At 40.6% G+C, this 17,523-nt stretch overlaps 1 protein-coding gene across 48 annotated transcripts in view; it reads right to left on the bottom strand.

The window, feature by feature from the left end:
- The window catches only part of RIF1 (replication timing regulatory factor 1), a 124,534-nt gene that overhangs the window by 98,454 nt on the left and 8,557 nt on the right, over positions 1-17,523 (bottom strand). For 39 of the 48 annotated variants that reach the window (XR_007077534.1, XR_007077537.1, XR_007077543.1 and 36 more), the window contains 5 exons: positions 15,603-15,792; positions 12,940-13,032; positions 7,060-7,198; positions 2,754-2,905; positions 402-519 (listed from right to left, as the gene is read on the bottom strand). Coding sequence is in view for 29 of the 48 variants with exons in the window: in NM_001177665.2 (NP_001171136.1) it covers positions 402-519; positions 2,754-2,905; positions 7,060-7,198; positions 12,940-13,032; positions 15,603-15,792 (692 nt within the window). In the remaining 19 variants the exon portion in view is untranslated. The remainder of the gene's footprint in view (positions 1-401; positions 520-2,753; positions 2,906-7,059; positions 7,199-12,939; positions 13,033-15,602; positions 15,793-17,523) is intronic. The other 9 variants (XR_007077544.1, XM_047444875.1, XM_047444884.1 and 6 more) reach the window with 1 other exon arrangement.

Here is a 17,523-nt window from a genome sequence, read left to right as displayed (position 1 = left end):
AAAGTGCTAGGATTACAGGCGTGAGCCACCTCACCTGGCCGATGTGTTGTTTTTAATAGCGCTAAGATTCTGGTTCTAAAATCAACAGCTTCATGTTAGCTGCTCTGAGGCTTTTTTTGCAAGGCACCTCACATAATGTACTGAAAAAACATCCGTCTCTTCTAACCACAACAATGCGCTTACAACAGTAATCAGTAATATTAAAAAAAAAAAACAAAAAACAGAAAAACATGATAATGGATTTTTTGGTAATGAACCTAAAAATTATGAAGTGCTTCATTTCAAACGAAAAACACTGAGCAAAACCTCTCAAAGCCTTTTTTTTTCCTACTTCAAAACTATGCTTCTAGGTCAACAAAGCCTGATTAAAAAAGCAAAAAACAAGAATATCTACCTCTTACCTTTGTGTACAGGAGTCATAGGATTTAAACCTGGAGATGTAGCTACATGACACGAATTGCCCTGAGGTGAGGCATTAGAATCAATGCTTATTGTACTTTGAATCAGAGGCACACAAACCTATGGGGTAAAAGAAAACATCGATCTATAAACTATACAACTGTCACAGTTTTTAAAAGCCTCACATAATATAAATTTCATTAAATGGAGCCTTAATATATTCCATTTTACAGATCGTTTCCATGCACAAACAGGCTAAAAAGTGGAATTTGGAAAAAATATGAACATTACAACTGTATTTGCCCTAAATATGTATTACCTAAATTTGTTTATATACATCAACATCTGAACTGTACACATTACTGGTAGACTAATTTTAACTTTTTAAAACTCTGGAAAACATGAACTCAGACAAAGCTCATTTCTAACATCATCCTAGTACCAGTCACATGTAGTTACCAAATAAATTATTCCAATTAATGTATTGGACAAATGCAAAGAATTAGCCTATTGGACCCTTATAATGGTAGAATTTGGAAAATTCATTATGATGCAAATTACATTGTTGACAATGCCCATCTTCAATTATTTCATGTTATATAAATTTAAAACTCAATAATTAAAAAATTAAAAACTGAATAAAAATGGCTTAAGTATATTTATAAGTCCTCCTGTCCAAGAATGCATTCCCTGCTATGCAGCTATTTATATAAAATATAAAATATACCCCTAAAATATACCCCCAGAAGTAAAATGTACCCCCAAAATCCAAAATAAGTGATAAAGAAATGAAAAAGATGTTAGCAGAGCTGCTCCTTTTAACTGTAAAAAAATTCAAAAACCAGGCTGGCGCAGTGGCTCATGCCTGTAATCCCAGCACTTTGGGAGGCCGAGGCAGGCAGATCACAAAGTCAGGAGATCGAGACCATCCTGGCTAACACAGTGAAACCCCGTCTCTACTAAAAATACAAAAAATTAGCTGGGCGTGGTGGCGGGCGCCTGTAGTCCCAGCTACTCAGGAGGCTGAGGCAGGAGAATGGTGTGAACCCAGGAGGTGGAGTTTGCAGTGAGCCGAGATCGTGCCACTGCACCCTAGCCTGGGCAACAGAGCGAGACTCCATCTCAAAAAAAAAAAAAAAAAAAAATTCAAAAACCAAGGATGGAAATAACTGCAAATAACTCAAAAGGTTTAGGTTAAGATTAAACTTTATATCTAAATGCCAGTAAGGATATGCAAATCCTGAAGAATTCGTAAAATCATTGTGTAACAATTAAAAAGAACCTATAAATAGGATTCAGTCATTGGTTATCACTATGCAGCCTAGAAAACGGAGCAAGAAATAAAAAAACAAGAACTGGTCCAACCTTGTATCTACCCAGTGTAGCACTTGATTTCTCTCTTTTTTTTTTTTTTTGAGATGGAGTCTCACTCTGTTGCCTGGGCTGGAGTGCAGTGGTGTGATCTCAGCTCACTGCAACCTCCATCTCCTGGGTTCAAGCAATTCTCCTCAGCCTCCCGAGTAGCTGAGACTACAGGCACATGCCACCACACCCAGCTACTTTTTTGTATTTTAGTAGACACGGGGTTTCACCATGTTGCCCAGGCTGGTCTCAAACTCCTGAGCTCAGGCAACCCACCTGCCTCTGCCTCCCAAAGTGCTAGGACTACAGGCATGAGTCACCGCGCCCGGCTGATTTCTATTTCACTGATGCTGGTTTTCTTCTCAATTATATTCCAAATGCTCTAGGGGAAAAAACCCTTTGTTTAAAATCATAATGCTTGTAGAGTAAGAATGTTTGAGTACTTGCTAATTTAAAAACATTTCAGGGCCAGGCGCGGTGGCTCATGCCTGTAATCCCAGCATTTTGGGAGGCTGGCATGGGCGAATCATTTGAGGCCAGGAGTGCGAGACCAGCCTGGCCACCATGGTAAAACCCTATCTACACTAAAAAATACAAAAAATTAGCCAGGTGTGGTCGTGCGCCTGCAGTCCCAGCTACTCGGGAGACTGACACAGGAGAATCACTTGAACCCAGGAGGTGGAGGTTGCAGTGAGCCGAGATCGTGCCACTGCACTCCATCCTGGGAAACAGAACAAGACTCCATCTCAAAATAAATAAATTAATAATAAATAAATAAAAACATTTCAGGTAAAGGGGCTCCATTTCAAGCAACTGAACAATATCCCTTGTGGGAAATGAATTTAAGTTCTCTGCCAGTAAAGTGAAAGACCTTTTATATGTTCTAGTCTGCTAATAAATAGCAAAAATAACACCACAGGATTACATTGGTAAGAATTTAAGAACACATTAACAAAAACATAAAGTGCTATAGTCAACACTTGTAATGTTACCTGTTCAAAATTAGCAGGAAGATGAGGTCCAAGTCTCATCAGTAAATACCACCAGACTTCTAGTTTTGTTAATGCTAGAGTTTCTGTTCTCACATGGATGGAACTCAAAGGCTGCATTAACAACTTGAGTCTTTTTGCACTACATAGTATATCTTAAAAGAAAATAAGCACACAGTTAAAGAGACGTCCAAGCTAAAGATTAACTCTAACACTAGCTATGCAACAGTCTTTTATCACAGCAAGAGAACGTATTTTAAAATTTTTTTAAAAAAATAAATCCCCAGGCTGTCCTTGCTCTACCCAAAACTTGCATTTTGATAAACTACAGTACAGCTGAACCAAAAACACTCAATAAATCAAAAATATATTTTAAAACAAATAAGTAATATTTATTAGATATTGTGTGCCGGGGCAATTTCCCACCAGGGAATACTTCAGGTTGGTTACAAATGAGGGGATGCTATTGACATCTTAGTGAGTAGAGACTACGGACGCTACTAAACTTCAACACCACACCAGGACAGTCCTGAAAAACAAATTATCCAGCACAAAATGCCAAAACTTTGACAAATACTGTCCTAGCTGCTTTAGCATTCTCATTATCCCCATTTGACAAAGAAACGGAAGCATATGTTTACATTATGTCAAAAAAGGCTATCATTTTAAAAATCAATTATTAATATATTCCATCAAAAATCATTACTACTGGGGCCACTGACTGAATACATTTTTGAAATCTAAATAGATTCATTTAGATTCAGGACTGCCCTATCTTAACAATAATCATATTGTTAAAATTCAGCATAGAAATTAAATCCAATCTTCAGAAAAAACATTTATGCCAAATGAGTAAGACTGGGGATATGTAAAATTAAGACACAGTCTGTGCTAAAATAACTTGTCAAAAAGACCTTAAAAGGGCTGGGCGTGGTGGTTCACGCCTATAATCCTGGCACTTTGGGAGGATGAGGCAGGTTGGTCACTTGAGGTCAGGAGTTTGAAACCAGCCTGACCAACATGGTGAAATCCTACCTCTACTAAAACTACAAAAAGGTTAGCTAGGCATGGCGGTGGCTCCTGTAATACCAGCTACTCAGGAGCCTAAGGCAGGAGACTCGCTTGGACCCAGGAGGCAGAGGTTGCAGTGAGCTGAGATCACACCACTGCACTCCAGGCTGGGTGACAGAGTGAGACTCCGTCCTGAATAAATAAATAAATAAATAACTTGAAAAGGATTCTGAAACATCAATCAGGCCATGTATTTGGTGGAATGGCACTCAACAATGTCTGTTACAACTACTCTGCCATTTAGCTATTTCAATTAACAGTTCTATAAGAAAATAAAGGCTATCACTGTATGAACAAGTTCTCCAGTCCAAGACACTTCCTTTTTGGGGTCTCCTATTCTTTTTGTTCATTCATTCATTCATTCATTCATTCATTCATTCAGAGACGGAAGTTTCACTCTTGTTGCCCAGGCTGGAGTGCAATGGCATGATCTCGGCTCACTGCAGCCTCCTCCTCCCGGATTCTCCTGCCTCTGCCTCCCAAGTAGCTGGGATTACAGGCATGTGCCACCATGCCCGTCCAACTTTGTATTTTTAGTAAAGATGGGGTTTCTCCATGTTGGTCAGGCTGGTCTCTAACTCGAGAACTCAGGTGATCTGCCCGCCTCTCAAAGTGCTGGGATTACAGGCGTGAGCCACCACGTCTGGACTCTATTCTATTTATGAGAAGAGCTCCATAATAATATCTCTACAGTAGCAGAGATTAATTGCCATGCAATAAACCAATCTCCTTTAATTAAAAAATCTGATTTTACACAGGACAGTGATGGGTGCCCAATTTTTGACTACTTTTTCTAGTCGGCCACTGAGCCATTCTACCCAGTAAAATTTAAGTGGATGTGTATATAAGATTCTTAGAAGGCTATTTCTAGGTATAGGTGAGTAAGCTGTGAAGAAGTCTTTTCTGCTCTTCTGCCTTCCCTCCTTCCTGTCTGCAATTAAGACAAATCAAAGATGGCAGAGTAAAAATACAGTCATCTGATTCCTTGATGACTTCCCGGATCCACAGCATCAGTCATGGATTCCCTAGCTCTGAACTTATTTTTAACTTACTATCTTTAAACTACTCTTATTTTATGCTTTAACTTAATTCCTAAAGATTGTAGTCCCAAACATTACCTCACACTTCTGGGTTTACAGTTAGACCCAAATACATGCCAGCTCATAAACATAAAAATAAGCTACAATTTCAATTAAAAATTGTAGTAGAATGAGCACAGTGGCTCACACCTGTAATCCTAACACTTTGGAAGGCTGAGGCAGGTGGATCACTTGAGTCCAGGAGCTCGAGACTAGCCCGGGCAACGTGGTCAAATCCCGCCTCTACAAAAAATACAAAAATTAGCCAGAAATGGTGGCACACGCCTGTAGTCCCAGCTACTTGGGGGGGCTGAGGTGGGAGGATCACTGGAGCCCAGGAGGTCAAGGCTGCAGTCAGCCACTGCACTCCAGTCTAGGTGACAGGGCAAGACCCTAAGTGGGGGGAGGGGGGGAAACTATGCCCCCAAAATGTACCAGTATTTTAAATAAAAGTAATTATAGGGCTGGGAGCAGTGGCTCTTGCCTGTAATCCCAGCACTTTGGGAGACCGAGGCAGGCAGATCACAAGGTCAGAAGTTCGAGACCAGCCTGGCCAGTATGGTGAAACCTTGTCTCTACTGAAAATACAAAAATTAGCCAGACGTGGCAGCGGGCGCCTGTCATCCCAGCTACTTGGGAGGCTGAGGCAGGAGAATCGCTTGAACTTGGGAGGCGGAGGTTGCAGTGAGCTGAGATCACGCCACTGCACTCCAGCCCGAGCAACACAGTGAGACTCCATCTCAAACAAAAAAGAAAAAAAAGGCCGGGCGCAGTACCTCACACCTGGAATCCCAGCACTTTGGGAGGCTGAGGCGGGCAGATCACCAGGTCAGGGGATCAAGACCATCCTGGCTAACACGGTGAAACCCCGTCTCTACTAAAAATACAAAAAAATTAGCTGGGCGTGGTGACGAGCACCTGTAATCCCAACTAATCGGGAGGCTGAGGCAGAAGAATGGTGTGAACCCAGGAGGCGGAGCTTGCAGTGAGCCGAGATTGTGCCACTGCACTCCAGCCTGGACGACAGAGCGAAACTCCGTCTCAAAAAAAAAAAAAAGTTATTATACATTAATGCAAATAATCACAATACAAAACATATTAAAAGGAGGAAGAAATGGGATAAATAATGGTCTTTGGCAGGAAAAATATAGGATAAAAATCAACATTACTTAGCAGCTCTTGTAAACATACAGTGTTAATTAAATCTAAGATTAACTACCACCTAGTTAAGTACTCATACTAACACAGTTTTGGGCTAAATATTCTTTCTTGTGAATATATTATCAGAAAACTCCATTGAACAATAAGAAGATAAGGTTAAAGTAAATCAAAAAGAATGACTTCCATATATCAATATTAAACCACTATTAGGTACTCTTCTAGAGATCCTGAAAGAAGTAAGGTCATCGATCACTGATATTTTTATTCCATGGAAATCACAACTGCTTCCTATCATCTACTGGTTATGTGACCTCTGGATAATTACTCAATCTCTCTAAAATAGTGATTAATAATTACATCTCAGGTCTATTGTGATGATTAAATAAAATATACATAAAGTACTCAACTCAGTGCTAACATGTAAGAAAGCCACAAATAATAGGCTGGGGGCAGTGGCTCACGCCTGTAATCCCAGCATTTGGGAGGCCAAGGAGGGCGGATCACTTGAGGTCAGGAGTTCCAGACCAGCCTGGCCAACATAGTGAAACCCTGTCTCTACTAAAAATGCACAAATTAGCCGGGTGTAGTGGTGGGCACCTGTAATCCCAGCTACTCGGGAGGCTGAGGCAGGAGAATCTCTTGAACCTGGGAGGCGGGGGTCGCAGTGAACCAAGATCCCATCACTGCACTCCAGCCTGGGCAAGAGCGACCCTGTCTCAAAAAATAAATAAATAAATAAAAAAGGAAGCCACAAATCATTATTTTTCACTTTGTTCAGTTTTTGAAATACTGTGAAACAGATTTCATATTTGTGATTTCCAATGCCTAGTATGTGAATTCTATTTTCAGTACAAATTTATTCCTGTTCCCTTAAAATGAAAATAATTCAGTAGTTACTTAACTTCAACTTAAAATCCAAAAAACCAGAAAAACTTCATTTATCTTGCTTTAAGCAAAACAAATTCACAGAAAATCAAAATTGTTAAAATATTACTTACCTGGATTTAAAGCAAAATTATCTATTAAACTCTTCCAAGCAATAAAAGCTATCTTTTTAATCATGGGTGCTCCACTACGAAATCCAAGTTCTTCTAGTTGCAAGAGAGAATTGATGAAACTCCCACTTCGATGCAAGGTCTAAAAAGGGGAAAAAATCATTAAGAAGTTATTTATCTGCATGAAACAGAATAATTGCTATCATTCCTTTATTCATTCACTTAACAGATGCTCTTAGGACTTCATAATCTAATGGGGAGACAAAAGACAAATTATTCACAAAACATAAAGAGATGTGTTAAATGTTAGATATGTTAAAAGTCTTAGGAATATAAGAAAATAAACTTTAAACACACATTCTAAACTCAAGATCACAAAATATATAAAGTTTGAAGAAGCAGACAATGTACAACACAGAACATTTCTAAAACAGAAAATTAGGAGAGCAGATAAATCCCAAACTTTATCAAATCAATACCAAACAAAATATACATTAAAAAATTATATTAGAGAAAAAAGGCATTGAACCCTGAAAATAATAAAAATAACCTTTCAAACAAACTGAATGGAAAATTAAGGAAACATCTTATTTCATGGCTGTAAAAGAAATATTTTTTAAAAACAGTATTATCTGCTAATAAAAAATAGTAAAAGTGAGATAAAAATCAAGAAAACTGAATAACTTTTCTTTTTTTTGAGAGGGAATCTCGCTCTGTCGCCCAGGCTACAGTGCAGTGGTGCCATTTTGGCTCACTGCAGCCTCCAGCTCCTGGGTTCAAGTGATTCTCCTGCCTCAGCCTTCCAAGTAGCTGGGATTACTGGCTAATACTACCACGCCCAGCTAATTTTTGTTTTGTTTTGTTTTGTTTGAGATGGAGTCTTGCTCTGTCACCCGGCTGGAGTGCAATGGCTGGATCTCAGCTCACTGCAACCTCTGCCTCCCAGGTTTAAGCGACTCTCCTGCCTCAGCCTCCCAAGTAGCTGGGATTATAGGTGCGTGCCACCATGCCTGGCTACTTATTTTATTTTTGGTTGAGGCAGGGTTTCACCATGTTGGCCAGGCTGGTCTCGAACTCCTGAACTCAGTCCACCTCGGCCTCCCAAAGTGCTGGGATTACAGGCGTGAGCCACCATGCCGGCCTAATTTTTGTATTTTTAGTAGAGACAAGGTTTTGCCATGCTGGCCATGCTGGCCAGGCTGGTGACTAACTACTGACCTCAAGTGACCCACCCGCCTCAGCCTCCCAAAGTGCTGGGATTACAGACATGAGCAACCACAGCTGGTAGAAAACCGGATAACTTCTGAATTACTTCCAAATATTATGTAAGATTTAAATGGGAATACTATCAAACAAAAAGAAAAATATGAGCTCAGGAGAAAAAAAAACAAAAAAAAAAATTAAAAAAAAAAATAGGCCAGGCACGGTGGCTCACACCTGCAATCCCAGCACTCTGGGAGGCCAAGGCAGGCGAATCACCTAAGGTCAGGAGTTCGAGACCAGCCTGACCAATATGGAGAAACCCCTTCTCTACTAAAAATACAAAAATCAGCCAGGCGTGGTGGCACATGCCTGTAATCCCAGCTACTCGGGAGGCTGAGACAGGAGAATCACTTGAACCTGAGAGGCCGAGGCTGCAGTGAGCCGAGATCATGTTTGCACTCCAGCCTGGGCAACAAGAGTGAAACTCTGTCTCAAAAAAAAAAGAAAAAAAGGAAAATAAAGTACAAAATGGAAAAATGACAAGTAATGCATCACAAATAAAAAATTACATCAACACGAATGCTCCTAACAGGCTATAAACCACATATAATCTTAACAGGCTATAAACCGGTAACAAAAAAAAAAGGTTTAGAAAATAAAAAACACACAAGTTAGCTATAAGAGCTAAAGGAAATACTTCGTAATAGATCTAGCCCAAGAAGTTAAAGACACAAGATGAAAATTATGAAGCACTGCTGAAAGAAATTAAAGACCTAGGCCTGGCACAGTGGCTAACACCTGTAATCCCAGCACTTTGGGAGGCCGAGGCAGATGGATTGCTTTAGGTCATGAGTTTGAGACCAGCCTGGCCAACATGGTAAAACCCCATCTCTACTAAAAATACAAAAATCAGCTAGGCATGGTGGCAGGCACCTATAATCCCAGCTACTCGGGAGGCCGAGGCAGGAGAATCACTTGAACCCGGGAGGCTGAGGTTGCAGTGAGCCAATATAGCCAGGACAACAGAGCGAGACTCTGTCTTAAAAAAAAAACAAAAAAAAAACCCTAAATAAATGGAAAGACATCTGTGTTCATGGGTAGAAAGACTTAACATCAATGAAATGCTAACTACTCAAGGCATTATATGCAGATTCATCACAATCCCTACCATGATTCCAACTGTCTTTTTCACAGATAAAGAAGTCGATCGTCAAATTCACACGGAATTGCAGTCTCAAAAAGCCAAAACAGCCAGGCGTGGTGGCTCACACGTGTAATGCCAGCACTTTGGGAGGCCAAGGCGGGAGGATTACAAGGTCAGGAGTTCGAGACCAGCCTGGCCAATATGGTGAAACACTGTCTCTACTAAAAATACAAAAATTTAGCTGGGCGTGGTGGCGTGCGCCTGCAGTCTCAGCTACTCGGGAGGCTGAGGCAGGAGAATCGCTTGGACCCAGGAGGCAGAGGTTGCAGTGAGCTGAGATCACGCCACTGCACTCCAGCCTGGGCGACACGGACAGTCTCCAGCTCAAAAAAAAAAAAAAAAAAAAAAAATTAAAAGCCAAAACAATCCTGAAAAATAATAAAACCAGACAAACTGACTGCCAAACTTAGCATAAAGCTATAGTAATTAATACATATGATAATGGCATAAGGACAGCCATACAGACCACAAGAATAGAATACTGAGCTTGGATATAAATCTTTACACCTATGTTCAATTGATTTTCAAAAGGGTACCACAGGCCAGGCGCGGTGGCTCACGCCTGCAATCCCAGCACTTTGGGAGGTCGAGGCGGGTGGATCTCTAGAGCTCAGAAGTTCGAGACCAGCCTGGCCAACGTGGTAAAACCCCTTCTCTAATAAAAATACAGAAAAGAAAAAAAAAATGTGCCGAGCATGGTAGTGCGCGCCTGTAATCCCAGCTACTTGGGAGACTGAGGCAGGAGAATTGCTTGAACCCAGGAGACAGAGGTTGCAGTGAGCCGAGATCATGCCACTGCACTCCAGCCTAGGCAACAGAGTAAGACTCTGTCTCACAAAAAAAAAAAAAAAAAAAAAAGGGTACCACAAGGATTTAATAAAAACAACCTCTTCAGTAAAAGATATTGAGGAATCTGAACATCTGCATGCAAAAGGATGAACGTGGACTCTCACCTTACACCATATCCAAATATTCACTCAAAATGGTTCAAAGATCTACATTCAAGATCTAAAACTGGAAAATTCTTAGACGAAAGCATTGGGAAACAAAAATGACACTGGATTTGGCAACAACTTCATGAATATGATGTCAAGTACTAGCAATAACAAAAAATATATATATTATACTTCACCAAAATTAAAAACTCTGCAATGGATATTACCAAGAAAGCAAAAGAGAACCTACAGAACGGAATTAAATATTTGCAAATCACAAAACTAAGGGATGCATATCCAAAACATATAAAGAACTACAACTCAACAACAAAAATTCAAACCTACTCAAAAATGGGCCAAGGACTTAGACATTTCTCCACAGACAATGAAACAAACAGCCAAGAACCAAGTGAAAAGATGTTCAACATCACTAGTAATCAGAGAAATGCAAATCTATACCAAATCAATCCCACTTCACATTCACTAGGATGGCTATCAAAAAAAGGAAAATAAAAAGTGTTGGTGAGGATATTATGGAAGCGGAACCCCAGTGCATTACTGGTGGGAATGTAAAATGGGGCAGCTGCTACAGAAGAGTTTGGTGCTGGCTGGTTCAAGTGGCTCATGCCTGTAATCCAACAATTTTGGAGGCTGAGGCAGGCGGATCACTTGAGTTAGAGACCAGCCTGAGCAGCACGGCAAAACCCAGTCTCTACAAAAAATATGGAAAAAAAAAAAAAAAAAAAAAAAAAAAAAAATCAGCCGGGCTGGGTGGTAGTCCCAGGTAATTGGGAGGCTGAGATGGAAGGATGGTTTGAGACTGGGAGACAGAGGTTGCAGTGAGCGAGGTTGTGCCACTGCACTCCAGCCTGGGTGATAGATAGAGCCAGACCTTGTCTCAAAAAAAGAGTTTGGAGCTTTCTCAAAAAGTTAAGCATAGAACTACTACATAACCCAGCAATTCCACTCTTAAGCATATACCCAAAAAACTGAAAGCAGGAACTCCAACAGATTTGTACACTGGTGTTTACAGCAACATTATTCACAATAGCCAAAAGGTAGAAACAACCTAAATGTCTCTCAACAGATAAACAAAATGTGTTATATACATACAATTACTCAGCCATAAGAATCCAACTTTAATATATGTTATGACATGGATAAATCTTAAAAACTTTATGCTTCCAGGCACGGTGGCTCACGCCTATAATCCCACCACTTTGGGAGGCCGAGGTGGGCAGATAACAAGGTCAGGAGATCGAGACCATCCTGGTCAACATGGTGAAATCCTATCTCTACTAAAAACACAAAAATTAGCCGGACATACTGGCACATGCCTGTAGTCCCAGCTACTCAGGAGGCTGAGGCAGGAGAATTGCATGAACCCGGGAGGCAGAGGTTGCAGTGAACCAAGATCACGCCATTGTACTCCAGCCTGGGTGACAAGAGCGAAACTCCGTCTCAGAGAAAAATAAAAAAACTTTATGCTTAGTGAAATAAGCCAGACACGGAAGGGCATATATGTTATAATTTCACTTTTATGAGGTACCTAGAATAAGCAAATTCAGAGACAGGAAGTAGAACAGACATTACCAAAGGGTGATGTCTGGGTGCAGGAGGAGGGCAGAGGAAGTTTACTCTTTAATGGGTACAGTTTTTGTTAGGGATGATGCACAGGTTTTGGGTATAGATAGTGGTGATGCTTACAACATTATGAATAGATTTAATGCCACTGACTTGTTCATTTACAAATGGTTAGAACATGTATATTTACCACAATAAAAGCAGCACACCCCCTACCACCCAAAACCTGGCTTAATCATTGAACATACAGTTGATTCTCTCTCATTATTCATAGTAGTTATGGTTTTCTATTATATAAAGTAGCCTTGAACACTAAATTGGCAAATACTGAGTGATCACTCCCATGGGAAATACAGGGTTAGGTTCTCTGGACACAACACTTTTGTCAGCTGTTCAATATATAACCTGCTTAACGTCTATTAGAAGATATTTTATACAAATGAATCACTAACATCAAACTCACAGCCAGTAGCTCTATAAATCATGCCTGAACAAAGTTTATTTTCACCATTGGGTATATCACAGCCTTCCTTTGCTTAGGAACACAAACTAGAAAGCACCTGGACCCAAGCTTTAGGTTCCAAATTTAAACAGTGAAACCACCAGGAAAAGCACAGAAAAGTGAAAAATGTGGCATTACATGGATTATAAAAAGGACACCTGTTTAAGGTATGAGAACTAAAACAAAAAGGCAGAGCGTAACCTTGCTTGACCTCAGCTGGAAACATGCACGTTGTGTGACTCCAATTCTTTGCCACTTTGGGTGTCTACAAATGAAAGCAAAAGCAATGCAAGTACTGGTTTCAGATTTACAAATAAATTTTAGTGAGTAGGCATGAAATAATGAGCATCAGCTGTACAAAGGAAATAATGAGCATCAACTGTACAAAGAAAAGGTAAGAAAATAAAGAGTCCAGCATGTAAAAACTGTTGACTGTTCATTAACTGGGCACTTACCCTTCCAAGTAGTTTGACAAACAAAGGCCATAATTTTAACACGTAAGTCTCATTTTTACTCATAAATAGCTTCTGAAGTTCTGAGATTAATTTCTGCAAACAAAAGCAATTAATTTACCAAACAGACTCTTAGAAAAAAAAATCCAATACCAAAGTCTAGGAATAATTTTCAAAAACTGATTCAACCAAATAGTTTTCTCCATAATAAAAATATTACCCCACCCAAGGCCAGGTGCGGTGGGTCAAGCCTGTAATCCCAGCACTTTGGGAGGCTGAGGCAGGAGAATCACCTGCCTCGGCCTCACTCTTGAAGTCAGGAGTTCAAGACTGGCCTGGCCAATATGGTGAAACCCTGTCTCTACTAAAAACACAAAAATTAGCTGGGCATGGTGGCAGACGCCCATAATTCCTGCTACTCGGGAGGCTGAGGCATGAGAATTGCTTGAACCTGGGAGGTGGAGGTTGCAGAGAGCAGAAATCGTGCCACTGTCCTCCAGCCTGGGCGACAGAGCAAGACTGTCTCAAAAAAAAAAAAAAATTTTCCCAAAAGACTCCAAAAGGAAAACTGAAGCATATAGCAAATCCGAGTGAGTTTTTACAGTAAATGCTCTAATACAAACACTCAGATTCTACCATTAACACTTTACTATGTTGGTCTTATCACCTATCTGGCCATCCTACCATCCATCAATCCAACTTTTTTTTTCTACCAATATACTTTACCCTAAAAATGTCAGCATGCATATCATTAACTAGTTTAAATGACACTGTATTTTTTCACAATAATGAAAAAATACATTAATAGCTTCATAATCAACAGACACGTGAAATAATTTTTAGCTCAAATTTATATAAAGAATTTCATATATGCTTTGTTGCAAGCTTGATAAATGGGTTAAAGAAAGAATTTTATGGTCAGGCGCAGTGGCTCATGCCTGCAATCTCAGCACTTTGGGAGGCCGAGGCGGGCGGATCACAAGGTCAGGAGTTCGAGACCAGCCTGGCCAATATGGTGAAACCCCATCTCTACTAAAAATACAAATATCGGTCGGGCATGGTTGCAGGTGCCTGTAATCCCAGCTACTCCTGCTGAGGCAGGAGAATCGCTTGAACCCAGGAGGTGGAAGCTGCAGTGAGCTGAGACTGCGCCACTGCACTCCAGCCTGGGCAACAATTGCGAAACTGTCTCGAAAAAAAAAAAAAAATTATATATGTCACTAAAATTGAATTCATCAGAATAAAGCTATTTATGAGACACTCGAGTTACTGTGTCATACTGAACATTACCACGAAGTCTTCTGCATTTTAAGCAAGTAAAATCCCAGGTTTTAGGGGCTGGGTGTGGTGGCTCACGCCTGTCATCCCAACACTTTGGGAGAGTGAAGTGGGAGGATTGCTTGAGCCCAGGAGTTCGAGACCAGCTTGGGTAATATAGTGAGACCTTGTCTCAAACAAAAAACAAAACAAGACCTTCAAATATGGCTTTCCATGTAATCTAGAGTAAAAATCCATCCTTACAATGGTCCCTGCCATAGTCCTATGTGATTGGGCCCTCTTTTCCTCTCACTCTCATTCACTCCACTACTGTCATACTGCCCAGAGTTCCCAGAACACCAACCAGGTACACAACCATTAGAGCAGGGCCTTTTGCCCTCATAGTTCTCTTGTCTGGTTCTTTATCTACATGGGTAACTCCTACTCTGCCTTCAAATCACTGTTCAAATGTCCTTTCCTTTGCCTTCTCTGACCACCTTACATTCCTTTCTCACAGCACTCTCCGGTCCTTGCTCTTCTCCTTAGTGGTCTTCACTTACTACACTATGTACTTAATTATCTCTCCCACAAGAAAATAAGCTCCATCAAGCCTCTTTTGTTCACTGCTATATTCACAGCGCCTGCAACAATGCACTGCACATATCAGATGCCCAGTAAATATGTTAGAACAACAATGGTTAGAAAACCTAAAACCTGTGGCAAGTAATAACTAGAAAACTATAGAGACTAGGTAAGTTTATGTACATTAAATTTGTATCTACTGGGATTATACAGTAACAACCCAAACATGAGTCAATCAGTTAATGCTCTCCCTCTTTCAGAAATACAATTCCTATTTCCTATTTATTGGGAATGAAGTAAAATGTCTGGATTTTAGCAACAATAGATAGCTCCCTTCCTTACTACTATGTAATGAGCAATGTGCCTTTGCTAACTTATGCAACTCTTAAGGTTTTGATTCAAAGCTAAAATCCTATATCATAGTGCAACTATACCAATATGCCCAGACAGATTTTTTTTTTTTTTTTTTTTTGAGACAGGGTCTCATTCTGTCACCCAGGCTAGAATGCAGTGGTGAGATCATAGCTCACTGCAGCCTCAAATTTCTGGTCAAGCAACCCTCCCGCCTTAGTCTCCCAAGCATCTGAGACTACAGGCGCATGCCACCACGCCCAGCTAATTTTTAAGATATTTTGTAGAGATGGGTCTTCACTATGTTGCCCAGATGGGTCTGGAACTCCTGGCCTCAAGCAATCCTCCCACCTCAGCCTCCCGCTTTGGGACTACAGGTGAGAGCCACCGTACCTGGCCACCAGACTGAATTTTAAGCTTAGTGCAGAACCTTCCGATGCAGTATCCAGAAAATTCTTACATAAAAGAACACTCACAGTAGTCATAAGCTGCTCCGTAATAGATGCTATTTCTTGCTGTTTCTGAAGCAATAATGGCATTCCCATCTCCAGAGCAGTTGCTCCCCGCAAATGTACCTTTTGTGCTGAATGAACCACTAAAGGTATGACCAGTTTTGCCCACCTCACTGCCTCTTCTCCCATTTGAATTGGGGCTTGTTCAATTAGCCTATAATAGAGAAATCAATGAATAATTAGCGTGACCTCATGTTTTAAGTCTAAACAAGCAGTAAAATAGGTGAAACAGAAATATACACAGTACGGCCCATTTGTTTTAGAATATATACAAATATGCATATACACACAAGAAATAGATCTTATTTTTACGAATTTGCACATTATTGCTTTTGTAAATTTTTTTTAAAGAACCAATCTTGTCTTTAGATTGAAACATTTCAGTCATCCCTCAGTATCCCTGGGGGATTGGTTCCAGGACCTCACAATAATGCTCAAGTCCAATATGAAAAGGACAGTATTGTCATTCACCACAGAGCAACGTTTTGGTCAAAGATGCAGCACATTCACAATGGTGGTCCCATAAGATTATGAGGGACCTGACAAGTTCCTATCACCTAGTGACATCATAGCTGTTGTAACACTGCAGTGCAATACATTATTCATGTTTCTGATGACACTGGTGTAAACAAATCTACTGCGCTCTCATTCATATAAAAGTACGGCGCATTTACATATAGAACATAATACTGTACTATATGATAATGATAATAAATGACCGGCCGGGTGCAGTGGCTCACACCTGTAATCTCAGCACTTTGGGAGGCCGAGGCGGGTGGATCATGAGGTCAGGAGATCGAGACCATCCTGACCAACATGGTGAAACCCTGTCTCTTCTAAAAATACAACAATTAGCTGGGTGTGGTGGCACATGCTTGTAATCCTAGCTACTTGGGAGGCTGAGGCAGGAGAATTGCTTGAACCCGGGAGGCGGAGGTTGCAGTGAGCCAAGACCTCACCACTGCGCTCCAGCCTGGTGACAGAGCAAGATTCCGTCTCAAAAAAAATAGTAATAAAAAAACAAAAAATAAATGACTAAGTTACTGGTTTATGTATATACTACACTATAATTTTTATCATTAGAGTTTACTCCTACACTATAATTTTTATCATTAGAGTTTACTCCTACTTGTATTTAAAAAAAGTTAACTGCAAAGTAGCCTTGAGGGTCCTTCAGCAGATACTCCAGAAGGTAGCATCAATCACAGAAGATGACAGCTCCATGCATGTTACTGCCCCTGAACACATTTCAGTATGACAAGATGTGGAGGTGGGAGACAGTAGAATGATCCTGACCCTGCAGAGGCCCTAGGCTGATGTGTTATGTTGCTAACCAAAAAGTTATGAAAGTTAAAAAAAAAAAAAAAAAAAAAAAGAATTTAAGGCTCCTAGAATAAGGATCTAACGAGGGAAAATATGTTTGCACAATTGTATGTTTGTGTTTTAAGCTAAGTATTCTTTTTTTTTTTGAGACCAAGTCTCACTCTGTCACCCAAGCTGGAGTGCAGTGGTGCAATCTCAGCTCACTGCAACCTCTGCCTCCCGGGTGCAAGTGATTCTCAATGCCTCAGTCTCCCATATAGCTGAGATTACAGGCACGCGTCACCACGCCCGGCTGATTTTGTATTTTCAGTAGAGATGGGGTTTCACCATGTTGGCCAGGCTGCTCTCAAACTCCTGACCTCAGGTAATCCACCCACCTGGGCCTCCCAAAGTTCTGGGATTACAGGTGTGAGCCAAAGCTAATTATTCTTACAGGCCTGAACCACTGTGCCTGGCCAAAGCTAATTATTCTTACAAAAGTCAAAAAGTTTAAAAATTTTAAAGTTACAGTAAGCTGCCCAGGCACAGTGGTTCAGGCCTGTGATCCTGGTACATTGGGAGG

Source organism: Homo sapiens, chromosome 2, assembly GCF_000001405.40.
Source record: "Homo sapiens chromosome 2, GRCh38.p14 Primary Assembly".
In the NCBI taxonomy this organism is placed as follows: Eukaryota; Metazoa; Chordata; class Mammalia; order Primates; family Hominidae; genus Homo; species Homo sapiens.
Note: the sequence above shows the minus strand (reverse complement) of the source record. Positions and strands in the feature narration are given on the sequence as shown.